This window comes from Homo sapiens, chromosome 10, assembly GCF_000001405.40.
Source record: "Homo sapiens chromosome 10, GRCh38.p14 Primary Assembly".
In the NCBI taxonomy this organism is placed as follows: domain Eukaryota; kingdom Metazoa; phylum Chordata; class Mammalia; order Primates; family Hominidae; genus Homo; species Homo sapiens.
Genome location: NC_000010.11, coordinates 1,373,548 through 1,400,008, shown reverse-complemented (window position 1 = coordinate 1,400,008; position 26,461 = coordinate 1,373,548). Strand labels below are relative to the sequence as shown.

At 46.7% G+C, this 26,461-nt stretch overlaps 1 protein-coding gene across 1 annotated transcript in view, besides 3 other annotated features; it reads left to right on the top strand.

Moving 5' to 3' along the window:
- ADARB2 (adenosine deaminase RNA specific B2 (inactive)) overlaps nucleotides 1-26,461 on the top strand; it is a 560,213-nt gene that overhangs the window by 337,517 nt on the left and 196,235 nt on the right. Inside the window, exon 2 of the mRNA NM_018702.4 lies at nucleotides 20,849-20,935. Coding sequence (NP_061172.1) covers nucleotides 20,849-20,935 — 87 coding nt within the window. The remainder of the gene's footprint in view (nucleotides 1-20,848; nucleotides 20,936-26,461) is intronic.
- Nucleotides 18,382-18,893: an enhancer, noted in NCBI's record as "NANOG hESC enhancer chr10:1423311-1423822 (GRCh37/hg19 assembly coordinates)". NCBI's record gives its function as "activates a minimal SCP1, AML or CMV promoter by ChIP-STARR-seq in primed H9 embryonic stem cells {active_cell/tissue: H9 hESC(primed)}" and the evidence as "EXISTENCE:reporter gene assay evidence [ECO:0000049][PMID:30033119]".
- Nucleotides 19,123-19,825: an enhancer, noted in NCBI's record as "NANOG-H3K27ac-H3K4me1 hESC enhancer chr10:1422379-1423081 (GRCh37/hg19 assembly coordinates)". NCBI's record gives its function as "activates a minimal SCP1, AML or CMV promoter by ChIP-STARR-seq in naive H9 embryonic stem cells {active_cell/tissue: H9 hESC(naive)}" and the evidence as "EXISTENCE:reporter gene assay evidence [ECO:0000049][PMID:30033119]".
- Nucleotides 19,826-20,530: an enhancer, noted in NCBI's record as "H3K27ac-H3K4me1 hESC enhancer chr10:1421674-1422378 (GRCh37/hg19 assembly coordinates)". NCBI's record gives its function as "activates a minimal SCP1, AML or CMV promoter by ChIP-STARR-seq in naive H9 embryonic stem cells {active_cell/tissue: H9 hESC(naive)}" and the evidence as "EXISTENCE:reporter gene assay evidence [ECO:0000049][PMID:30033119]".

Here is a 26,461-nt window from a genome sequence, read left to right as displayed (position 1 = left end):
CCAACCTCCAAAATAAGAGACAGAAATGGAAAGTGTGGCTGCACTGGCACCTCCCAAGCACAGGCCAGATGCAGGCTGTGACATCCTAGAATGCAAGGCTTCCTTGGGGCAGCCTCCCACCAGGGCCTCCTGTGTGTCCCTCAGGGCACTCTCAAGGGCAGCCCCCTGCTGGGTTTTCTTCCCTTTGTTTCATTATTATTGTTGTTATTATTACTCATAGTCCTAGTGACACAGCACAAATAAACTTCCCTGGTCAGTGGTTCCCTGGCACACTCAGTGACAAGCTGGTACATCCTTCAAATAATATTACAAAAACCCTGAACGTAGGAAAGACCACATTTACGAATGCGTCTCAGGGCGTGATCATCACACAGCAGGACGACCCCCACAGAGCATCTGTCACACTCCCCCTCTTGTATCTCAGCACTCATTAGCCACTTCCCGGGAAGCTGAGAGGCAGAGGGACCCCAGGCACCAGGCCGGGGACCCTGCTAGACCCTGCTAATTGACTGAGCTTCAGTCGGAAAGGTGGGAAATGCTGAGTGGTAATGAAAACCAGGAGCCAAAAAAAAAAAGATATGATTGGCCAGATTCTTTATAAATGTCATTTGACCAGTGCCCACCTGTCCCATAAAAGGGTCTCATCTGCAAATCTGGGGTGGCGTCACCCATCACGGGCCCAAAACACCATCCCTCTTCATATCATCGCAAAGATTTCTGAGAGAGGAGGAGATCTCCAGAGGTGGTTTCTCCTTGTTACCCATGAACTATAAATACCCTCCTTCAGCCTCTTAGAAAACAGCCGGCACTTCAGCACAGGGGACTGACTGCCATTGGCCCCTGTAGGCGGCCAGGGGGAGTCAGGGTGTTTCCTCTGTGTTTGGAGATGGACAAAATAACCAGTCCCTGCAAATCTTCTCAGTTCATTTTATTTCGTGTTTCCTACATTCCATGTCATTCATTTACTCATTCAGTGAACATTTGTCGTGGCCCCGCTGATACCAAAACCTGTGCCAGGCTCTGAGGAGAGATTTCCCAGGGCTGAAGTAAGTGCCCACTCTTAGAAGTCCCTGGAAGGCTCTTCGGTGGTTCTCTGGCAAACCACTCTACCCATCAAGACCCCAAAGACAGAGCGGTCTGTTTCCCCCAGCAACCTCGTGCAGGCTGCGCTGCTGCTGCGGAGGGAGAAAATCTCTTCTTCCCAAATGTGAACCTGGCCTCTCAGGTAAACGGGCACGCCAATCCACGCAGAGCCGAGAGCTGGGTAATTTGAGGGTCAGAGGCACGAAAGTCTCTTCTCCATCTATGCTGATACCTGAAATTCCACCGTTAAAACTTTATTTATATTGATCAATTGTTCCTTAGCCTATTACAGATTTCTCAAAGAAAGAAACGGCAAATACACGTTTTTGAGTTGTCTTACCTCCGCACCAGAACTGGGTTCTGACAGTTTTAGGAAAAACAGAAGGTTTATCTGGAACTGGGGTTAGGGGCTCCTGGAGAGGGGTCTTCACTGGAGCTCCACAGGGAGAGGAGGGGCCCTGAAAAACAGGAGCGAGTGGGAGGACCAAGGAAGAAACCCGTCTCCCTCCCAACCATGCACAGGTGAAAGGCCAGATGTCCCGAGGAGCGCTCATGGTCTTTCACCCCGTGTCAGTGCCACTGCCTGTGCTGGGCAGCTTCCTGCGCCCTGGACACAATTGCAGGAAGCAGGCGAAGCCCTGCCCCAGGAAGCCTGCACTCGGGAGGGGAGAGACGGACGGTGACCCAGGAAGCCTGCACTCGGGAGGGGAGAGACTGATGGTGACCCAGGAAGCCTGCACTCGGGACGGGAGAGGAGGACGGTGACCCAGGAAGCCTGCACTCGGGAGGGGAGAGACTGATGGTGACCCAGGAAGCCTGCACTCGGGAGGGGAGAGGAGGGCGGTGACCCAGGAAGCCTGCACTCGGGAGGGGAGAGGAGGACGGTGACCCAGGAAGCCTGCACTCGGGAGGGGAGAGGAGGACGGTGACCCAGGAAGCCTGCACTCGGGAGGGGAGAGACGGACGGTGACCCAGGAAGCCTGCACTCGGGAGGGGAGAGGAGGACGGTGACCCAGGAAGCCTCCACTCGGGAGGGGAGAGGAGGACGGTGACCCAGGAAGCCTCCACTCGGGAGGGGAGAGGCTGATGGTGACCCAGGAAGCCTGCGCTCGGGAGGGGAGAGACGGACGGTGACCCAGGAAGCCTCCACTCGGGAGGGGAGAGACGGACGGTGACCCAGGAAGCCTCCACTCGGGAGGGGAGAGGAGGACGGTGACCCAGGAAGCCTCCACTCGGGAGGGGAGAGGCTGATGGTGACCCAGGAAGCCTGCGCTCGGGAGGGAAGAGACGGACGGTGACCCAGGAAGCCTCCACTCGGGAGGGGAGAGGCTGATGGTGACCCAGGAAGCCTGCGCTCGGGAGGGGAGAGACGGACGGTGACCCAGGAAGCCTCCACTCGGGAGGGGAGAGGAGGACGGTGACCCAGGAAGCCTCCACTCGGGAGGGGAGAGGCTGATGGTGACCCAGGAAGCCTGCGCTCGGGAGGGGAGAGACGGACGGTGACCCAGGAAGCCTCCACTCGGGAGGGGAGAGGCTGATGGTGACCCAGGAAGCCTCCACTCGGGAGGGGAGAGGCTGATGGTGACCCAGGAAGCCTCCACTCGGGAGGGGAGAGACTGATGGTGACCCAGGAAGCCTGCACTCGGGAGGGGAGAGGCTGATGGTGACCCAGGAAGCCTGCGCTCGGGAGGGGAGAGACGGACGGTGACCCAGGAAGCCTCCACTCGGGAGGGGAGAGACTGATGGTGACCCAGGAAGCCTGCGCTCGGGAGGGGAGAGACGGACGGTGACCCAGGAAGCCTCCACTCGGGAGGGGAGAGGCTGATGGTGACCCAGGAAGCCTGCGCTCGGGAGGGGAGAGACGGACGGTGACCCAGGAAGCCTCCACTCGGGAGGGGAGAGGCTGATGGTGACCCAGGAAGCCTCCACTCGGGAGGGGAGAGGCTGATGGTGACCCAGGAAGCCTCCACTCGGGAGGGGAGAGACGGACGGTGACCCAGGAAGCCTGCACTCGGGAGGGGAGAGACGGACGGTGACCCAGGAAGCCTGCACTCGGGAGGGGAGAGGCTGATGGTGACCCAGGAAGCCTCCACTCGGGAGGGGAGAGGAGGACGGTGACCCAGGAAGCCTCCACTCGGGAGGGGAGAGGAGGACAGTGACCCAGGAAGCCTGCACTCGGGAGGGGAGAGGAGGACGGTGACCCAGGAAGCCTCCGCTCGGGAGGGGAGAGACGGACGGTGACCCAGGAAGCCTGCACTCGGGAGGGGAGAGGAGGACAGTGACCCAGGAAGCCTGCACTCGGGAGGGGAGAGGAGGACGGTGACCCAGGAAGCCTGCACTCGGGAGGGGAGAGGCGGGCGGTTAGTAGGCGTCACAGGGACACTGCAGGCGGGGATGGCAGGGAGGAAATGGAGCAGGACAGGAGCTCAGGGCCGGATTCTTCGATCCTGGGACACAGCACGTGCCTGGCAACTTTTTGTTGAACAAATGAATGATGGAAGTAATGAATGACAGGCTTTTCTATCCTTTGTTCAAATAGCCCAAACTCACCAGAGACGGGCGTGAAGGCTGCGTCGGCCGAGGCGTGGGCGCCCACCCGTGCAGCTGCGATGGGTCACCGAGGGGGTGGGGACAGGGATGGGAAGTTCAGTCCGGCAGCACTCTCAAGGCTGGAGAGAGTCGCACGAGGAGAAGAGTCGGGAGGCTCAAAATAATAAAACCCATCCCGTGTACCAGCCAGGAGCTCAGTGCTGAGGAAATAATTAGATTTAGACTTGCAAGCTCAGCTATTAACTCTTTGACCTGCTCTCTAAACAAATTACTTACGCGATCATTGCTCGCTTTCCAGTTAACTAGAATGTCTAATGCGTAGAAAAGGTGAGAAATGGCCCGCATTTGGACCAGTGCTGAAGAAACATGGACTCAGAGCAGACAATGTGGCTCAGTCCGGTCAGCGGAGGACAGGGCACCCTGCTAGGAGGGTTCACGATGCCGCACTTCCAGATTCAAAGAAGCTCAGTAGAAAATAAAGCAAAGTGCTGGTCATGACTGGCTTCAGAAGGGCAAGCGTCAGCAAGGCCTGGGGAAGCCGGGGGCGCTGAAGGCAGCCGCTATGAGACACAGTGAGCCGAGCCTGGCCATCACAGGAGGGCAGCCCCCCACCCTGCTGCACTCCCGGTCCTTGTCTCATTGGATTCCCGCAGCTGCCCAGGACGCAGATAGGGATGGTCTGCGACGCCGGGATGGTCTGCGTCGCAGGGATGAGGACAACAGCTATAGGGAGGTCCAGCACTCAGAAGAGTCTCACAGCCCCTGCACTGGAACCTGGAGGCGCCGAGGAGGCAGCCTGGGCCCTCAGGGAGCAGACGCCCCGCTGGGGAGAAGTGCCTGGCGGCCCATCACTGCCCCCTGGGCTGGGCAGTAACAGCAAGTATGAGGCTGCGGTCATCAGGGCTGGAGGAGTTAGAGGAGGGCAGGAAGGACCTTGCCATTCTCTTATCAAGGAACTGTCAGGACCTCTGTGAAGCTGAGGCCTTCAGCGAGCTCCTCCCAGGACCGTCGGAGAGTCCCAGGTTGGAGACAGGAGGGAGGTGGCCAAGGTCCCTGGCTCACCCACTCACCATGGGGCTTAAAGCCTGACTTGTGCATTAGGCTTCGATTCAAGACGGTGTCATCAGCTGTCGGGCCGGAGCTCTGAGCAGTGAATTCAGAAAGAACAGATTAGGCTTGGAGAATAAAAAATCTTGGCCAGGCACGGTGGCTCACATCTGTAATCCCAACACTTTGGGAGGCCGAGGTCCCAGGCAATATAGCAAGCCCTCAGCTCTAGTGAATATAAAACAATAGCCAGTTATGGTGGCACGCATCTGTAGTCCCAGCTACTTGGGAGGCCGAGGCAGGATCAACTGAGCCCAGGAGTTCGAGGCTGCAGGGAGCTGTGATTGTGCCACTGCACTCCAGCCTGGGGACAGAGCAAGATCTTGTCGAAAGAAAGAAAGAGAGAGAGGAAGAAGAAGGAGGAGGAGGGAGGAAGAAAAGAAAAGAAAAGAAAAAATGACCTGTGCACAGCGAGTCCTGGTATATGGGGTGACCCTCTTCCTTAGCAGGGAGGGGAAGCAGCTCCTCCCCTTAGACGCTCCTACCAGGTCTTTGCAGAATGCAAGTCTCATCTCAGGCCCTGGCTTCAGACCCTTTGACGTTCCTCAGGCCCCAGGCAGGTTGTCAGTGACTTCATGCAGTGCAGGGAGCCCAGTGGGCCTGACTTGCTCCTCTGTGGCTCGTGACCCACCTTTGACCCCCCAGCACTGGTCACACGAACCTCCGTGAAATTCCACGAGGTCACTCCCTCTCCCCTCCTGGGCCTTTGCACAACATCCACTCAAGAAAAATGACTTTGGCAACCAGTTAACAAATAGATTGGTGAACATGATGAATAGGAGATTATTGCAAAGCCCAGATGAGAACCGAAGCAGCAGGAGCAGGCTGTGGAGCAGAGAAACACCAGGAGGGACCCTCTAGAGAAGCTGAGGCACTTAACAGGTGCAGTGAGGGCAACAGGTAGGCAGAGGTGACCCGCGGGCCTTGAGGCTGGGCCCCGGGTGGATGGCGTTAAGTGGATCAGAGGAACAAGGACACACTGCATCTTCACAGGACATACTTGTCCAGTTTTGAGTAGATGGACTCAGAAATCTTACAGAACAATCAGATAAGCTTCCAGTAGGACGTGAGGAATTTGGCCTTGGAATCAGAAGCTGATTGGGGATTAGAGTGTGGTTGCCTTCAGGCCACCTGCCTCCCAAAGGAGCTTCTTTCATACGTGGGATGGCTCTGCGCTTTCTCTTCTAAACCTGGGACGAGTGAGTGGAGCAAGTGCTATTAATGATTACACCCTAAGGCAGAGTTCACGGAGGACACCACCCTGAAAGGACGAGGATGATGTCAGGCAACTTCTGCAGCCTCCACCCCCAGGAGAAGCACTCATGTCTAGAACTTTGCAAATTTGGCTGAGCCTTGGCTAATCCTTTGGAAAGCTGTGAGTTTCTCCTTGTGAAGTGTGAACACACACCTTTAGACTATTTTCCTAATTTAAATATACTTTCTTGCAAGGAGTCACCTTTTCCCATCAATCATTTGAAGGACCACCTGTATCTGTGCCCACCGCTCACATCTGGAAGGGCACACAGAACAATCTGGTGTGTGTCTGTGTTGGCGTTTCAGCTTTTTCCAAGGTTAGCTGGAGCGTGGTGCATAACGCGTGGCCTGGGTGGTCTTTGAGACTGTGCACAGTACCATAGTCGCTGTGAAAACCGTGCCCTGTCACAGGTCCCAGTGTTGACACAGGAATGTCCCAGTGCCCTGGCTTTGAGGAAAGCTACCTGGTAAGAGAACAAAATGCCTTAGAAATTAAACCATGAGATGGGGAAGGTGGTGATGGCTAATGCGTACCCACAAAAAATAACTGGGAAGAATGAAAAAGACCTAGTTTTTGATAGCACAACAGGATGAATAGAGCCAATAATAATGTAATTGTGCATTTTAAAATAACTGAGTATAATCGGATTATTTGTAACACAAAGGATAAATGCTTGAGGGGATGGATACCACGTTTTCCATGATATGATTGTTATGCATTGCACGCCTGTATCAAAACATCTCATGTGTCCCATAAATAGATGCACCTACTATGTACCCACAAAAATTAAAACTAAAAAATACTAGAAACATTTTAACCAACAGAGAGAAGAAGAAATTAAACCATGAAAAATGGACACATTCCACCAATAGCTCAAATTTGGCTGTGCGACTAGTTGCTAGCCCTGCTTTGAGCCCTATGAGTTGGAAGTGATGTTTCTACATGCACAGCTACTAGGAGCTCCTGTCACTGCCAGAGGCTCACTGCCACTTTCACAGAGAGACTACTTCCTACAAATGTGGGGACTTTGAGAAGGAAATTAGGAGTTGTATGTTTTTTTTTGAACACAATTACCTCTTTAAAGAAACTCTCTCCAAATACGGTCACATTCTGAGGGACTGGGGGGTTAGACTTCAGCATGAATTCTTGTAGGATATCATTCAGCCCATGACAGTGAACATGTGGCTGACACCGCAGGCCACCTCCGTTTTAACTGGACGCTTTCAGGACCAAACCTATGAATCCATCTCTGAAATTGCCAGGAAACATTCACCAAAAGAATCAAACCTTCTCGTGTTTTACAAAACACAGTGCAGACCCAGAATCTCTTTAAAAGTTGCCTGAGCTCCCTGTGTTGTTCATAGGACGGGAGCTTGGAGATGGCGTTGTAAAACCCATGTTCCTCCTAAAAACCTGTGAGACGAACTCCTTGCCTTTCGTCTGCAATGTTACTCCTCCTCCTGCCTGCGTGGAGGTTAATCATCCCCTTGCTTCTCAGGGCATTCCACCTGTCCACACTGATTTGCTTTTGTGTTTAGATAGAAGTGCATCCATTTGAAGACATACCTGTATTCTGTTCGAATATACAGCTATGGAGAAAGTGGGTCAAGCCTGAGGGAGGCCATCTGTCAGAGCGTGTTTTGGCAAAAGGAAAACATGAGAAGGAAACTTGTAACAGAGGCTGAAGTATTGTAGCCTGAGGGCACCAAGAGAGTTCTGTGGACTCCAACTGTCAGCCCCAATCCCGGTTATGTAACTGTTCAGGAGTGCAGAGCTTTGCAAGATGTGGAATGGACATGGCCCACAAAAGGGAAAGGCAGAAGTGCAAACCTCACTTTCAATTTTTGAAATAAGGACAGACTCAAAGTGCTCGATTTATGTATTTTTAATAGCCTATCCTATGAAATATTTAGTGCTTTTTAGGAGGTAGAGTATTAGATCAAATTCTGACCAGGCACGGGGGCTCACACCTGTAATCCCAGCACTTTGGGAGGGTGAGGCAGGCAGATTGCTTGAGCTCAGGAGTTTGAGACCAGCTTGGGCAACATGTCAAAACCTCATCTCTACAAAAAATATAAAAATTAACCAGGCATGGTGGTGGGCACCAGCTATTCAGGAGGCTGAGGTGGGATGATCGCTTGAGCCCAGGAGGTTGAGGCTGCAGTGAACCAAGATCACACCACTGCACTCCAGCCTGGGTGACAGAGTGAAACTGTGTCTCACAAAAAAAAAAAAAAAAAAAAAAAATCCAATTCTTAGACATCCTGGCAGTTATCATTTTATTATCATTTTTATTGAAACTTCCAGCCAATGTGTTATTTCACATGAATAAGTTTCCAGATAACTGACATAACATCACGCACCAAAAGATGTTTTTAAGTTTTCATCATACTTGCTAAAAATTGTTTGATAAACTGTTTGTAAATGAAACAGAGTTTCAATCCACAAAGTGGACTCCAAAAACATTGATCTTTTCACAGTCCCTCAAATCATCGTGGGTAAACTGAGGCCTCAGAGACCACCAAGGCATGTGTGGTTGGGCCTGTGAGAAACAAACTCACTTGTCCAAACCCAAAGAATGGACTTAGAGACCCGGAGAACAGCGATAGTGAGTCTTTTAATGATGGGCTTGCAAGATCAGGTGTCTGATGGGCAGGCACACCTAGCACAGTTTCAACAAGCAATTTATCCCCTAGTGCACAGGTCCCTCCCCCAGTCCCTCATAGGCTGAGCACTATGGGGGGGTCACAGTCTTCCCAGACATCGCCTATTGGTTGTTGGGCAGGAGCTTTAGGTGTTTTCTTTAGGGTTGTCTTACTGCATTTTATTGCAACCCACAATGCATTGCAATCCCAGTCAGCTCAGGGGCTCTTCAGGTATTTGACTTGTGACCTAAGTAGCTGGGCAGGCTGAAAAGAACAGACAAAATGAGCTATTTCGCAGGCTAGTAAACTTTCATCTTAGACTAAACTTCTTTGGTTCAGGTGAGGGCAACTAAGGGGGCAGGGGGTGAGCCAAAAAGCAGGTGTTGGCTATCCAAGCAAGGGCCTAGTATATCCTGTTTTTTCTGTAGTTTGCTGACCTAAGCCGATTTAAGGCACGTTGTCTTGGAAATGGACCACTGTATACATTATTTCCTTCAGGCCTGAGGCTCACAGTTCTGATCCCAGCTTGCAGCTTTCTGGAGCTCTTGTTTGCCCCTCACTGGTTACTCCCCCTTCACTTTATGTAGATGCAGAGGATCTGCAAATCCAAAGTTGGCTCTGAAGGACTTTGTCTTTGAGACTGTAATTTTTCTTATTGCAATGTCTAAGGCTTTTTAATATATTTGAGCTTTCACATCTATAAAATAGGGGGAATAAAAAAGAAAACGGAAACCCAAAGTCCGATAAGTAGAGGCATAAGCAGATATGCTTTCCTAGCAGAGATCTTCATTTAATATCTATCATCCTCAATTTTCTTCTTTATAGATTCAACAATTCTTTGAGGCTTGCTTTACATCATTTATTTTCTTGTCCAGTCATGATTTTTGGTTTTTAATTGTTTTTAATAATGGAAGTATAATTTACATACAGCAAAATGTACAAACCGCACATGTTACAGTCCAATGACAAATGCAGACACACATGTAGCACATGCCCCATCTAAATACAGCATCTTTTCATTTCAGCAGCAGAAGCCCACTTCCGCCTCTTCCCCACAATCTACAAGCACCCTTCAGAGATGCCCATGCTCTGCTTTCTCCACGGAGTGCTGAAAGCCTCCTGGAACTTTATGTAAATGGAACCACACTGCATATTCCTTTTTGTGCCCAGACTTTTTTGCTCAGCATAATGCTTTTGAAATCCATCTATATCATAATGTAAAATTTTAATATTTCACTCATTTTGTTTTGTTTTACTGAAGAGTAATTCATTGTATAAATGCACCACAATTAATGTATCCATTCTTCTCTTGATGGGCATTTGGAATATCTCCCATTTTAAGCTGTGACGAATAGTTTGAATAAATATCCCTATGTGAGTCTTTTTGTGAACATATACATTTCATTTATCTTGGTTAAATATCTAGAAGTGGAGGTGGTAATTCGTAGGAAAGGTGTATGTTTAACAACCAAGACATTTTCCAAAGTTTCTTGAAGTTACTATACCAGGGGATGAGCTCTGATTTTCCACATGGTTACTGACATGTAAACATGTAGCGCCGTCAGCCTTTATTTTTTATTTATTATTTATTTATTTATTTATTTATTTATTTATTTATTTTTGAGTCAGAGTCTCACTCTGCCTGTCACCCAGGCTGGAGTGCGGTGGCACGATCTCAGCTCACTGCAACCTCTGCCTCCCCGGTTCAATCGATTCTTGAACCTTAGCCTCCCAAGTAGCAGGGATTATAGGTACCCACCACCACACCCAGCTAATTTTTGTATTTTTTGTAGAGATGGGGTTTTACCATGTGGCCCAGGCTGGTCTTTTGGAAGTGCTTATTGGCTATTTGTATGTCTTTGTAGTGTCTTCCACAGTGAAGTTTCTGTTCAAGTATGTTGCCCACTTTTTATAAGTGGAGATTTGTTATCCTTTATTATTAAGTTGCAAGAGTTTTTATATTCTGGATACAAAACAGTCATCTTGATTGTAAATATATCATCCCAATCTATCCATTCCTTTTAGCTTAATCAACAGTGTATTTCAACAAGCTGAATTTTTCCAATTTGATGAAAACTAATTTGTCATTTTTTTCTTTTGTAGTTAGTGCTTTCTATCTCCTAGCTAAGAAATCCTTGCCTAAATGAAAACCATGAAAGTAATCTCCTCAATTTTCTTCTTAAAAATTTATAGTTTTAGCTTTTTCATTTAGGTCTGTGATCCATCTTGTGATCATTTTCACATATGATGTGAGGTAGGGCTCAGAATCATTTTTTTCAATATGTTGTCTAGTTTCTTAGAACTATTTATTAAAAAGACTTTCTTCATCAACTTGCTTTGGTACCTTTGTTGAAAATCAGTTGATCATACAGACTTGATTCTATTCCTAGACTTCCCCTTTTGTTCCACTGGTATTTATCTAGCCTTACGCCATTACTACATTGTATTTGTTCTGCAGTATCAATATTGTTTCGACTATTCTGGGTCTTTTGCATTTCCATATAAACTTCAAAATTATCTTTCAATTTCAACAAGAGTACTGATTGAGATCGAATCATATCTATAGAAAAATTAGGGGACAGTTGATATTGTAACAATATGGAACCTTAGATTCTATGAAAATGGCATACATTTCTATTTATTGAGGTCTTTTTAAACTTATTTTAGCAATTGTTTGTAAATGTGAGTGTAGAGGTTTGGCATGTCTTTTTTTTTCTTCAGATTATACCTAAGTATTTTATACCTTTTTGTCCAAACAGTATTGTTTATTAATTTAATTTTCCACTTTTTCATTACTGGTACATAGAAGCATGTAGACTTTTGTGTATTGGAGTTCTGTCCTGTGACCTTGCTGAATTCACTTATTATTTCTGGTAGTTGTTTTCATCTTTCCTTAGGAATTTCTACATATATGATCATGCCATGAGGATAAAGTCAGTTCTACTTCCTTTCCAATCTCTATGACTTTTATTTTCTGGCCTTATGACACTAACTAAGACCTCTGTCCAATGTTGAATAGAAGTGGTGAAGGCAGACATCCCTGCCTTGTTCCCAGTACCACAAGGAAATCATTCACTCTTTCGTCATTAAATATAATACTAGTTATAACTTTTGGATATGTCCTGTATCAATTTGAGGAAATTTTCTTCTAGTCCTTTGTGTGGTGAGAATTTTCATGAAGAATGGGTTTTGTATCTATAGATAAATTAGGAGACAATTGATATTACAACAATATTGAATCTTGAATTCTGTGAAAATGGTGTATCTTTCTATTTATTTATCTTTAACTTATTTTAGCAATAGCTTGTAAATATGAGTGTGGAGGTTTGGCATGTCTTTCTCAAATGTTTTTTCTGCATCTTTTAAGATACTATTATTTTTCCCCCTTTATTATGTTAAGGTTGTGAATTACATTGATTGATTTTCAAACTGTAAACCAATCTTGCATTCCAGGATGAACCACACTGGTTCATGATACATTAACATTTTTATATAGGGATGAACTTGATTTGCTAATATCTTGTTAAAAACTCATCTGCTCGTGAGGACCATGGGTCTGTAGGTTTTTTTTCTTATAACATCATTGATTGGTTTTGGCTTTAGATTAACATTGGCCTCATCAAATAATTTTGATAGTCCACCCCCTTCCATTTTTCTAGAAAATTTTGCACAGAATTGGTATAATTTCTTCTTTAAATATTTCTTGCAGTTCACCAGAGGGAGCTCTCTGAGCCTAGTTTACATGTGAGGTTGTTTTTACTATGAATTAAATTTACTTAATATATATTGCACTCTTCTGGTTTTCTGCTTCTCCATCAGTGAACTTTGACAGTTTTTGCCTTTCAAAGAATGTTCCCATTGCAAATATGTTTTTCACTGACTAGCATACAATAGTTTACATTATTCCCATATTCTTATTTAATGACTGCAGGAACTATAGTAAGATCCCCTCATTTATTTCTAATTAGAAAACATGGAAGTTTTTTTCTCCTTTTTCATGATTAATCTAACTTGAGATTTATCAAACCTATTCAAGGAGCCAATTTTTTTGCTTCATTAGGGTTTTTTCCCTATTTTTTTCCACTTCCTATTTTGACTCCTACTATTAATTTTAGTAGTTTCTTCCTCTAACAACTTTGGTTTGATGTACTCTCTTTTTTTAGCTTCTGACAGTGGAAGCTTAGATAATGTTGGACGTTTCTTTGTTTCTAATATAAGCATAAACTTAGAGCTAAAATATGTCTCTCAGCATTGCTTTAACTATGTTTCACAAATTGTGTTATGTTATACTTTCATTATCACTGAGAATAAAGAGGCTTTAATTTTCCTGTGATTTCTCTTTTAACTCTTGGGTCACTTACAATGGTGATACTTAATTTCTGAGTATATACAGATTTTCCATATATCTTTTTGTTACATATATTTAACATAACTATATTGTGGCCAGAAAATATACTTTTATGATCTCAAACCTATAAAATTTATTGAGACCTTTTTTATTTTGTAGTGTACAGTCCATCTCAGCAAATACTCTATACAGTGTTCTATAAATGTAACTTAGGTCAAGTTAGCTGTTAGAGTTCTTCTAATTTTTTGTTCTATACCACCTTTTTCTCACTACTTGTTCTATCAGTAACTAGGGGAGGAATGTTAAAATCTCAAACTAGCATTATGTATGTTTCTACCCTCCTTCATTTTGCTAGTTTTTTATTCATGTTGTTTAAAACTCTGTTGAGTGCATAAACACCAACAAGTATTATATTATCTTGATGACTTGATCATTGTGATATGTCTTTCTTAATCCCTGGCAATATTTCATATTTTGAAAACTACTGTGTCTATTGTTAACATAGCCATTCCATCTTTCTTAAAATAAGCATTTACATGATGTATCTTTTTCAGTCATTTGACTTTTAACCTGTCTATATTTTTATACTTGAAGTAAGTTTTTGTAGCAATAAAAAATATAAGTTTTGTTTTTTAAATACAATTTGAATATCTCTGCATTTTAATTGGAGTACTCAGTCCATTTACATTTAATGTAATTACTGATATATTTGGATTTAAGTGTACCATATTGCTAATTTTTTTCTGTTTATTCAATTTTTTTGTTTCTCTTTCTTTGCCTTTTTCAACAAATCAATCTTTTTTAGTATTCTATTTTATCTTCTCTGTTGACTTTTTAGCTATACCTCTTTGTATTATTTTTAGTGACTGATCTAGAGATTAAAGCATGCATGTTTAACTTATCATAGCCAACTACCTCATGATCAAAGGAAGAAACTTGCAACAGAATAATTATATTTACCCCATCCCAAGGTGTGTGCTGCTCTTTTTATATATTTTCTAAATATACAATAAACATTACAGTACACTGTCATTATCTTGTATTTAAAGAGTTAATAGTCTTTTAGCAAATTTTTGATTTGTATTCTGTCATTCTCATTGCAGTTGCTCTGTATGTAAGATGTCCTGTTTCTCTGGCTACTTTGAAAATACTTTCCCTATCTTTTGTTTTCAGGAATCTGGCTGTGCTGATTGGTACAGTCTTCTTCAGATTTATTCTATGTAAGTTTGATTGAGATACTTGGATCTGTGATTTGATGTGTCTAAAAGAATTGAAAACTTTTAAACTATTATTTAAAGTATATTTTCTACCTTAACAGTTTTTCCATTTTTTTCTTGAATTCCAATTATACATAAGTTAGACTGCTTTATATTGTCCAACAGATCGTTGAGTCTGTCACTTTTTTCACCTTTTCTATTTCTCCCTGTGCTTAGTTTTGATTGTTTCTATTGATCTGCCTTCAAATTTACTGATATGTTTTGCAAAGTGACATATCCAATGTGAAACCCATCCAGTAAATTTTTTCATTTCAAATGTTATGTTTTTGAGCTTGAGAATTTTTGTTTTATTTATATAGTTTCCATTTCTCTACCAAGATTCCCCATCTATTTACTTATCATATCCCCTTTATTTTTAAATTCTTAAAAATATTTCTAACATCTATTTAATGTCCTTATCTGCTAATTTCAGCATCATTAGATCTTTTTACTTCGACTATATTTTTTTCTGATGATTGGTCATATTCTCCTGCTGCTTCTCACTTCTAGCAATGTCATTACTATTACTCTATCATTATTTGCTGGGCTTTGTGGATACCATGTTGTTCAGAATATGGATTTCACGGTGTTCCTTGAGTTTTCTTCTAGCAGGTAGATTATTACTGACCAAGGGTAGTTTATTACTGACCAGTTTCTAGTTGAAATGATCAACTAGATGATTTCAAAGCTTGTTTTAAGTCTTTGTTAGCGCATGTTCACGGCAGTTCTTAATCTAGGACTAGAGTATTCCTAGTCCTAAAACATGACCTTTTTACAATCCCAGCTGAATCCTAGCTCTTCAGTGATCTATGACTCCGCCTGATCAGAATGCCAGACTTTCAGCATTGTGCCATCATTTGAATTTTCATTCAGCTCGCAGGTCCCCAGCCACTGCTCTCTGTGAAATCTGAGTCTCTCCTTCTCATGTGGGGCTGAGTCTCAACCAAATCCAGCAGTGGCCCCACCAGATCTCTGAAGCAGCTTCCTTCTGCCCTCAAATTCTAGTTGTCTCAGCAGTGCAAACTTTGGTTTTTGCCTTCTCAACTTATCAGTGCTGCTGTGTTCTTCTCCAGGTCCACTTTTCTACTGCTGAAAAGAGCTTCCAGGTGGGAAGTTGTGGAGCTGTGGGGTGCACTCTCATGCTTTCCTTTTCTCAGGAACAATGGTCACGCACTGCCTGGCATCCAAACTCTGAAAACGGTTGTTTCATAGACTTTGTCCAGTTTTGCTGTTGTTTACAATGAGACAGCTGGTGAGCTGCAACTCCCTCATCCTGGCCAGAGGCTTGTCCATTCACGGCCAGCAAAGCCTTCCTTCCTGCCCTTTCTAGGACTGTGATGTGGGCTCAAGATCACTTCACACACTCCTGTCTTCTCCAGACTCACTTTGGAGGAGGCTATAATGCACTTACCATTTCCCTTTTTGGTTTCAATAGATCAGAAAGAATTTGGTAAGACAGAACTGAAAACTCACTGTGCCCCACTCTGCTAATGGTGTTGAGTCACGGTCCTTGGACCGGGAAGCGTAGAGAACTGGCTCTCCTTCTTCACAATGAGGGAATGTTCCTCTGCACCGTCTATCCCTGGGGCTTTTAGCCAACCCCAGTAACTTGTTTATGAACACATCGTATGTGATTACTTCTGCAGAGAGGAGAGTCCATCTGATTTTTCTACAAAATATTAACCAGACCCTAAATTTAAATGCTTTTCATACTTGAATTAAAAACTATTTATTGCACTATTCTTCCTTTTGTGGCCCGAGAAACAAAGATGCTGTTCTGATCTTAAAGATAGGATAAATGAAACATAGAAGGTTCAATAAAATTTAACAAAGGCAAAGGCAAGGAAGAAAAATCCAGAAAATTCAGCAGCCACTACAAGGATAAACTTTACTCGGGCAGAAAAAGATAGGAAAATGAGGATCTCCTTAAGCAGCCTTTGCTCAGTGTGGAAGGCAACTGTAGGCTGGAAGCCTGGGACGTGCTGAGGACCTTATAGATAGTCCTGGGCACATCCGCTAACTTCTCAATGTCTCAGATTCTTTGCAGAATAAATACATCAAGAAAGCTAAGACGTGTCCCAGTGACTATGCAGTGTGACTAATAACCAAGTAACCAGGTATCCTCAGTATGTGCAGTTATTTTGATTTTCAAAGTACACTAACACCTAATACTTCAACCACATGTTCTTAAAGCCTGATAATTCATATCAAGCATTCTGGGGAAGGCGATGAATTCAGGGGACTCATGAATTCCTGATATTGCATGAAAAACTGCTGGCATATCCACATGTGCCTTTCAGGGAAAATAAGCCATCGCTTTTTTTTTTTTAATCATACTCAAGGAAAATCCTCACCCCAAGATGTTAACAAGAAACAATAAGTAAACTATTAACTCAGGACATTTTGTTTCTAAACAAGATGATTAGGAAATCTGAAAATACCTAAAAATTATTCCAGTGAGTATCTCTTTCCCTCAGCCCTGACAGTGTAGTAATTCTCCCAAACGGTCGTAATATGAAAAACCGACAATAACCTCAGAACCTCAGTGTTGCAGATGCCAACTGCACTTCATGGCTGCACGTGGTTCCAGGCAAGGGCTGCTGTGCCCTCCAGATGTGCACCCAGATGCCCCCTAAAATACATAAAATTGCTTCAGGTAAATGCCATTTATTCCACAGTGAGTAACAAGGTTTATAAAGCAAGTGTCCTGGAACTTACAAGTCGTACATTAAAAACGGCCATCAGACCTTTCCTGAAAAAGACTCTTGACTCTTAGACCAGGGCCGGCCCCAGGCCACTGCGTCCCCCAGGTCAGTTTCCAGCTGGTCCATATTCGATGATGGGAGCCCGAGCTCAAGAACCCAGGATGTGAGCAGCTGAGGAGTGGGGAGTGCCCAGCCGACCCCTGACGTTTCTAGAGTAACACCTGGCCAGCCCAGCCGCCTCTTCTAGGCATTACCCAGAGGGTGGGGAGGCGGCGGTAGCGTGGGGAGCCCTGTGATGCAGCTTCTCCTGGCACACTCCGAAGGTCCAGAACTGAGGCAAAAAAAAAAAAAAAGTATGGCATCCTTTTTTCATCAGAAGCTTGAGTAAAACCAGATTTCCAAAAGATGACAATGAGAAACATGCAAAAAATCGAATTAGCTGAATATCAGAGTTCCACTCGTATTGAACTAACAGAATATACATCAGATCCCAAATGGACAATGAGTTCCGAGGAAACCACAAAGAGAGGCCCTGATGCCAAAGAACTTCTGTTGTACTTTTTCTATATTAAAAATGTAATTCTTCACCTCTTTTCTAAGAACACTCTAAAGATGCGGTCTGCCCTTTCTTGGAAATAATTGCTTCTCTCCCAGAGCTTATGTGCCTTCACGGTGATTGCAGATCATAGTTGGAATTTCAGGTGTACTTGTTAGCAATAAATAAGTGTTAGCAATTCTGCTGGCCTTCTGTTTCCTTTGCTTCAGTTTGGTTGCTCAAGCTGTCCCATGAAATCTGAAGTCCACTGCACTCGTGGAAAGAGAAGTTGGTTAGGCATAACTAGGAGTGTCAGAGAAAATACAGGATGCCCAGTTACATTTGATTTTGTTTTGCCATTGTTTTTTCCATATTTATTTTAATTTTAAAATGTTTATTTGACAAATAAAAGTTGAATATATTCAAGGTGTACAATGCGATGAATTGATATATACATTGGGTAACGATCACCAAAAATTAATTAACACATCTGTCACCAGCCATAGTTACCATTGTGGGGGATGAGGATGCTTAAAATCCACTCTTTTATCCCATTTCAAGTGGGCAATACATGTTATTAGCCAGAGTCCCCATGCTGCACATTAAGACTCCAAAACTCATTCATCCTATCACTGGAAGTTTGTACCCTAGACCAACACCTCCTCACTCTCTCCTTTCTCCCCTCACCCCATGGACCCTGGCAGCACCATGCTGCTCTCTGCTTCGGTGAATTCAACTTTTTTAGATTCCACGTGTGAGTGAGACCATGCACTAGTATTTGTCTTTCTATGCCTGACATTTCACTTAGGATGAGGTCCTCCAGTTTCATGCACACTGGTTGCAAATGGCAGGATTTCCCTTTTTTTAAGGCTGCCTAATCTGTTGCTTGGCTGTACCGCATTTCACTTATCCACTCATCCACTGAAGGACACTTGAGTTGCTTCCACCTCTGGGCTCTGGTGCACGATGCTGCCGAGGATATGAGGATGCAGATCTCTCCTTGAGTTTCCATTATTTGGGCATTGACCCGCCAGCAGGCAGAACTGCCAGTTCCCCCATTTTACATTCCCGGAGGGCTCTCATTTCCCCATGTCCTCACCAACACATTATCTTCTGGCTTTGCTTTGTTTTTCTAATAAACATCCTAATGGGTGTGAGGAGGTATTTCATTGTGGTTTGGATTTGCACTTCCCTAATGATTAGTGATGTTGATTACATTTCCATGTGCTTATTGACATTAGTACATCTTCCTTGGAGAAATGTCTATTGAAGTCCTTTGCCTTCCACTGAATTTCAGACAAACCATGAATAAGGTTTTTAAGTATATATGTGTGTGTGTGTGTGTGTGTGTATATGCACAAATATATATGTGTGTGTCCCACACAATATTAGAAATGACTATATATGAAAAAATTGTCTATTGTTTATCTAAAACTCAATTTTAACTGGATGTCCTGAATTTTTATTTGATAAATCTAACAACATCAGAAAGTAACAACTTTGATGGATCTAAAACAATCCTTAAATATCTTACAATTTTGCTAAAGTAAAGTCTGAAATAGTTTAGTGCATTTTTGTGAGTGTTTGGCTGGTAGCCCTACTTTATTAAAAATGTAATTTCATCTTGAGATCCTCCAGACTGAATCATTTGAGCTTCACACTCTTAGTGTAACATTATTGGACTCCCTTAATGAAATTATAATTCAAGCAAGATATTTCATTCTCTGGTAGTAAATTAGCTTCGGCTGCAAGGGTTTAGGAGAGCAAACCCTTCCCTGGTTTATTCTTGTTCGGTAGAACAAAGAAGGTAAAGGCATTTTATATTTGAGTTATTTATTGTTCTCTCTGTTGCCCGTCCCTACTGGAAACAACAGCTGTTAACAGGCTCCCGAATGAATTTCAATGGGAACTCTCCTGGACTCTGGAAATCTTGGCTAAGGAGAAAACAGGCTCAGCCTCAAAAGAAAAAGAGCCAGTTTCAGGCTGAGTCTGGACGCCTGAAGGCCAAGGGCAGATGAAACCAGCAGTTCATGTTTTCTTGAGAAATCACACTGAAGGAGGTATACAGTGCCACGGTGGGGCACCTGTGGACAGCCGTCCTTGTTACAGGGTGATGTAAACTCAGTGACCTCCTGGGAAATCCCGTCCGCGGATATCCACAGCTTCCAAAACAGAGGGAAGAATCCCACTTAGCAAAGTAGCCAATACCACAGCCAGTGCCCTGGAACTTAGCAGGGATGCTAGGACATGCTTCTGTCGCGCTCTGCACCGTGTTGGATGAGCAACGCTGACATTTCCACCTGGGGCGTCTTAATCAGTGTGGTCCAGGTTCATAATGGCACATGTGAACCGTGCGGGCTGGAGGATGTCTGGGAGCCAGGGGATCCCTGTGCTGTGTCTCTGTTGGCGTCTCCTCTGCAGTGCAGTGAGTTCTGCCGTGTGAACCAATACTCCCAAGTGCGGTGGCTTCATTTAGGTGGTGGAAATCTCCAAATTAAGGAGCTTTTCTTTTGGATCCCTTTATTAGTCATTTTTATTTCTCTCAATCATACCTCAAACCCACCATTCCTTAATCTCGCTATTGATGAAATAAATTGCTGAGACCATGGGAGTAAAAAAGCATACTTTATTGGTGAAGAGCGGCATCTCCTGGTTGGATCTATTTCCACAGCTGTGCTGCACTCACTGTGGTAGGGACCCAGGAGGCAGGACCTGCTTGGCCTTTGCTTACCTGGCCACAGGCTTCAGGCAGAGGCAGTCCCTGGAATTCCAGCCACCGCGTTGAGGACGCTTGGCCGTTTCCGGGAGGACTGTGCATGCTCTGCCCCACACCGCTAGCTCCCTCCTCCCCTCCTCTACTTCTGCCAAACACCCGCTAAGTGACAGGTCCTTTATTTTTAATGCATGTCAAGCCCAGAAAGCAAATTCTGCACTAATAGGAAAAGATAGTCTTGGCTTTATTGGCACCATTCTCTTTTAATTGTGAGATTGTTTTACTTGTTTTAGCCCATCTCTGTGAAATGATCTCGACAGAAGGCTCTGCCCTACCCAGGATTTTGTAAACAGATGCAAGGTTGTCGCCCTGGAGATAGCAAGTTTTAAGGGACATGGGCAAGATGAAGGGGGATGCCAAAATAAGAGAAGGAGAAAGAAGGAAATCGTAGAGTTTTAAATTGAGTGGAGAGAGGAATTTGATAAAATGCTGTCAGATATTCAATAAAAGACTGAACCAGAATGAAATGGCTGAAACCAAAGTGACCTCTCCACCTCCCTTGTCCAACATTCAGTAATAAGAACTTATAAAAGCATTGAGTTTTTCCGCAACTCCATGTCAAAAGTGCATTTCCTGTTCTTTTCTTTCCAGATAAAGTAAGCATATTGTCAACCTTCCTCGCTCCTTTCAAGCACCTGAGTCCTGGCATCACAAACACGGAGGATGACGACACCCTCAGTAAGCAACTTCCCTTCCCCGAAGTACACAAAGGCCCCTGTATCCTTTGTGCAGGGGTCCCCTGCAGTCCCCAAAACCTGAGATACCTGGGGTCATCTGGGAGGGTCTGTTTGGTCTTACCTGGAGAGACAGTATCTGCTCTCATTCCTCCACAGAATCCCCATCTTCCATGCAACCCCACCCACACCTGCAATTCTGTCCTCAGCTGGAATCCTTTTCTTATTTGAGGTCCTGTCCTCACCCAGAATCCTATCTCCACCTACAATCCTGTCTTCATCTGAGGTCCTATCCTTACCTGGAGTCCTACTGTAACCTGCAGTCCCACCCTTGCCTGCAGTCTCATCCTCACCTGTGGTCCCATCCTCACTTTCAGTGTCATCCTCACCTGTGGTCCCACCCGCACCTGGAGTCTTACCCACACCTGCAGTCTCATCCTCACCTGTGGTCCCATTCTCATCTTCAGTCCCATCCTCACCTGCAGTTCCATCCTAACCTGGAATCTTATCCTCACCTGGAACCTTACCCGCACCTGCAGTCCCATCCTCACCTGGCATCCCTTCCTTACCTAAAGGGCAGGAAAGTGTCAGTAATGTCTCTGGGACTGAGAAATTATTCCAAGAAATTAACCAGTTTTCTTGGACTATTCTCTCCTCTCCTTCCTTTGTTTTTCCATCAGACCAGAAAGAAAAATGGTCACGGTGTCTTAGAGCGCGGTTTGTACAAGTATTTAACAAGGAAAGGGCTGGGTAGGAGCCCCCCTACACCGTGCAAATATTTCTGGCACATGAAACTGGAAAGGGGCCAAGCAGTGTCCTCAGGATGGCACCAGGCTGGTTTAGGAAAGGGATCTGAGCGGCATCTCGGGAGCAGACTGCAGGGGTGAGGATCCAGGAGTGTGTGGCTGCAGGAGCTGGCCTCTGGTTCACAGCAAATTGTCAGGCATTTAACAAAGAAGACGAGACATTCCACACCATGTGAACAGCTCCTCAAATTTTAACACCACCTGGCAAATGGCTCCTTTTTCAACCAGGAAGAGGTCAGCACACGCCTGTTGTCACGGGATGGGGAGGAGGCGAGGTGACCCTGGGATTGCTGGTCAGACCAACAAGAGGCAGTGGGAGGGGTCTGCAAGGGGAGCCGTGTACTTTGCCATCAGCGTGGGAAACACAGCCCTTCCCAGACAGCATAATAATTAACTATACTGGAAATGGAGGTTGTTCTGCAAAAGTAGCATCACAGCCTTTGAGTGTCAGGACCAGAGCGAAGGTCAATGCCCTCTTTTGGACCCCTTCTCTTCTAGACGTGGAAGGAGGGGGTTAGGAGGAGGGTGTGCCGGCACTAGAGAGGGCTGGGCCCAGACTCTGTGCTCCCTCTCTAGCACAGCTTGAGATTCAAGCTAAGCTTTGACACAGGTTGCTTCTGTTCTCTGGTGACCCAAACTGGAAAATTTCCAGATGAGTCCATTTATTGATCACTACTTCTGAAATCTGGGATAGAGAAAGTGAAAAGCACACACCAGACATGTGCACGTGTGCACACACACCCCAGGAGCACACACAAACACACACCCCAGGAGCGCACACACACATGCGCACACACACCCCAGGAGCACACACACACATATGCACACCCCAGGAGCATACACCAGGCATGTGCATGTGTGCACACACAACCCAGGAGCGCACATGCACATGTGCACACACACCCCAGGAGCACAAACACACACACCCCAGGAGCACACACCAGGCATGTGCATGTGTGCACACACACCCCAGGAGCACACGCACATACACACACCCCAGGGGCACACACAAACACACACACCCCAGGGGCGCACACAAACACACCCCAGGGGCGCACACAAACGCACACACCCCAGGAGCACACACCCCAGAGGCGCACACACACACCCCAGGAGCACACACAAACACACACACCCCAGGGACGCACCGCACACACACATCCCAGGGGTGCACACAAACACACACACCCCAGGAGCGCACACACACCCCAGGAGCACACAAGCACATGCGCACACACACACCCCAGGAGCACACACAAACACACACACCCCAGGGACGCACCACACACACACACCCCAGGGGTGCACACAAACACACCCCAGGAGCGCACACACACCCCAGGAGCACACAAGCACATGCGCACACACACACCCCAGGAGCACACAACCCCCCCCACCCACCCCCCTGCCCCACCAAAGCTGAGCCTGACGTGTGGACCTGGAAACACGTGGGAAGGGGAAGTTCACTGTTTCCTCCTCTTCCACACCTGGAGCTGCTGGGATCCCGGCTGGAGCTGGTCTCCCTCAGGAGAAAAAGAAATGAAGCTTCAGCAAGGGCCAGAGGACATTTGGGGTGCGGAGCGAATGGTTTCAAACTTACAGAGGTGCAGCAGCCGCCTTTCTGTAGCAACTAGAGGCCAAGACCTGGAGAAATAAACCACCTGACTACATGGGAAAGTTACTGCTCTGCCCGTGAGATTCCTGAGAGAGGGACGTGCCCACCCCACGTAGGAGCTTCTCCTTCCCCCTGCCCTCCCATAAGAACCCCCACACTGGGCAGTGAGGAGAGGAGAGGGCCTGATGAGGCCAAGACTTTCTGGACTTTCTGGAAGCCTTTCAGGCTCTGTCCTGGCAGCCAAGCTGCCTTGGGCTGTGAACATTATGTAACTCTCAGAGCCTCCATGCTAATGGGTAGAAACTTAGAGGTAACAATAACTTTAAGTTATTTATGGTAGTTAAAATGCTCTTGAAATGCTTGAGGAGTCTCATTTTCAACCAATGTACTAGTTGCTCCCCTTTGTGTAGATGCTGTTTATTTACTTTATTTTCATAGATTGTTCAAAGACAAACCGGCAAATGAATCAGCCCTCCCTTCCTAGATCCCTGTGGCATTGCCAGCGCGGCCTTATCCATTTGTAATCCAGATGCACGGGAAGGTAGAAAAAGATGTGCGTGTGTGTGTGTGTGTCGTGATGTGTGTTCATGCATGTGGTATGTGTGGTGTGTGGTACGTGCACGTGTGTGGGGTGTGTGAGTTCACGTGTATATGTGTCATGTGCGTGTGTGTGCGTGTGTGTGCACATGTGTGTGTGTGCATGTGTGTGGTGTGTGTCTGTGCACGTGTGTGCATGTGTGGCAAGTGTGGTATGTGCACGTGTGTGGTGTGGGAGTTCACATGCATGTGTGTCATGTGCATGTGTGTGCATGTGTGCGGTGTGTGCACGTGTGTGTGTGCATGTGTGTGGTGTGTGTGTGCGTGTGTGCATGTGTGTGCACATGTGTGCGTGTGTGCATGTGTGTGGCGTGTGAATCTGTGCACATGTGTGCACGCACATATGTCAGGAGCAAGGGTGGGTGGTAGGAGCACACATGACCTTGCCCTGCCTCCTCCGGTCTCCCGTGTTTCACACCCTGTGAGTCTGTGTGTCTAAGGGCTCCAATACGAGGACAGTTCTCATCCCACCTGGCGTGTATTGCACCTTTGGGGAATACCATGTGCTTCCCTGTGGATGCTGGATGCCCACAACCTCACAGGGTCATGGCTTTTGTCTGGGACTGAGTGCCCTTCATCTAAGGGTGCAGAGCGGGGAACAGGCTCACAGGGCACACACCATGCCTATACCTGCGGGAAGTGGGCCTGGGAGCCGCATCTGGAAGCCCATCACCCACAGGCTGGTCTGGGCTGAGTGGACCGAACAACTCCACGTTTGTAAGGCGTGTCTGCCCTGGGGCAGTTAATTCTGAGGAGTTTTCTCTTCCAACACTGAGCAGCCATGAGTCCCTGCCATCTGGCCACTGTAACCTCTCTGCTGACCACCGCCCAGAGGTTGGGATCCGACCCAGTTCTGCGAGGACCAGCTGAGCCCAAGGCTGCCCGGCACAAAGGCGGCCCTGGGCCCTGGAGTTGTGCTGAAAAGAGGTTTCCTGACAGCCGCACCTGCTCCTTCCTGAGTCCCATGCACCACAGGCCCAGCCCCATGGGGTCCTGCGTGACGAGTCTTTGAAGGAGGCCCTTCTGCAGCTGCCCAGCCTGCCAGTGTCCACTCCACAAATGCCAGGAGCCACTGCCTCCCACCCCCGGCCCCAGCCTGCCTCCTGTCGCTTCCAGACCCTCTGCCTTGCCCTGGAGAACCCAGGCACCTGCCTTCCCCTCCCTAAGTGGGGCTTCATGGAGGGAAAGGGCTGCTCGGCCGCAGAATAACCTTCACCAGAAGCAACATTATCTCTTCCAATGTAGCGTGGCGCGCTGCCTGACTAACTCCCGGGAGCCCGTCTGACCCGCAGGCACGCAGCGTCATTAGTGATGCATGCGGTCCCAATGATACCGCACAGGGGAAGCCGGGCGTGCAAACGGCCCAGCAGAGGACGGACGGCGGGAGCCAGAGGAGAGGATGCCTGAGCTCTGGAGCAAGCGCAGCGCTGCATACGGCGGGCAGAGGGAGGGCAGACCCACCCGGCCTGGCCCCACCCGCACATGCTCTCCACCTTTGAAAGACAGCAGCCTAGGCCATCCGGCTTTGCACAACCGGAACAGCTTCCACTTGGAAAGCAAAAGTTTCACCACAGTCATGACAATATAAAGCGTTGGCCTTTCTCCCCCAGATGCTGTCCTTTAATGCGTTAAAACTTTAGACTTAGCACCACATTCCGGACACCGTATCAAACAAGGTCACGTGCGTATGAGGCTCTGGAGGGTGCCCGTGGGAGAAGTGGATGGAAATCATTTCATTTTGCATTTTCCCATGCAGATGCCTCCCTGAGTTTTCAAATTGCTCATGATCGTCCTATGACCCTGGCTTGTGGTATTTATCAATAGTTCCAAATTATTTGCCTGCTTTTCTCTAATTTCTACAGTGGAAGGATACGTGCAGCTCTCTGAAAACCTGGTGCCGCCCACAAAGACCTCAGAGAAGCCACAGTTCACAGATGCCTCATTCTAAGAGGTCTCCAGAATGAGGTGCTTGGCTGGGGTGCAGAGGCAGGAGGACATGCCAGGGCGTGGGTGGCCGGGATGCCACCCACGGAGTCTCACTGGAAGCGGGTTTCACTAGGAAAGGTGCACGGAGTCCACGCGGTTTCACTAGGAAAGGTGCGCGGAGCCCACGCGGTTTCACTAGGAAGGGTGCGCGGAGCCCACGCGGTTTCACTAGGAAGGGTGCGCGGAGCCCACGCGGTTTCACTAGGAAGGGTGCGCGGAGCCCACGCGGTTTCACTAGGAAGGGTGCGCGGAGTCCACGCGGTCTCACTAGGAAAGGTGCGCGGAGTCCACGTGGTCTCATTAGGAAAGGTGCATGGAGTCCACATCAGGAATTTTCCAGGGAGAAGAAGTGTGGTGTGAGCCCCAGTGAGGGCAAGAGGGCAGGGGAGCTGTGCTGTCTCCCAGGGCCACCATGCCATCCTGCTTTCTGCTCAGTTCCCCTGCCATTTCCCACCCAGCTGATGTAGGTGTACACACAAATGCACACACACACATCCACACAAAGTATACATAATGCACACACACA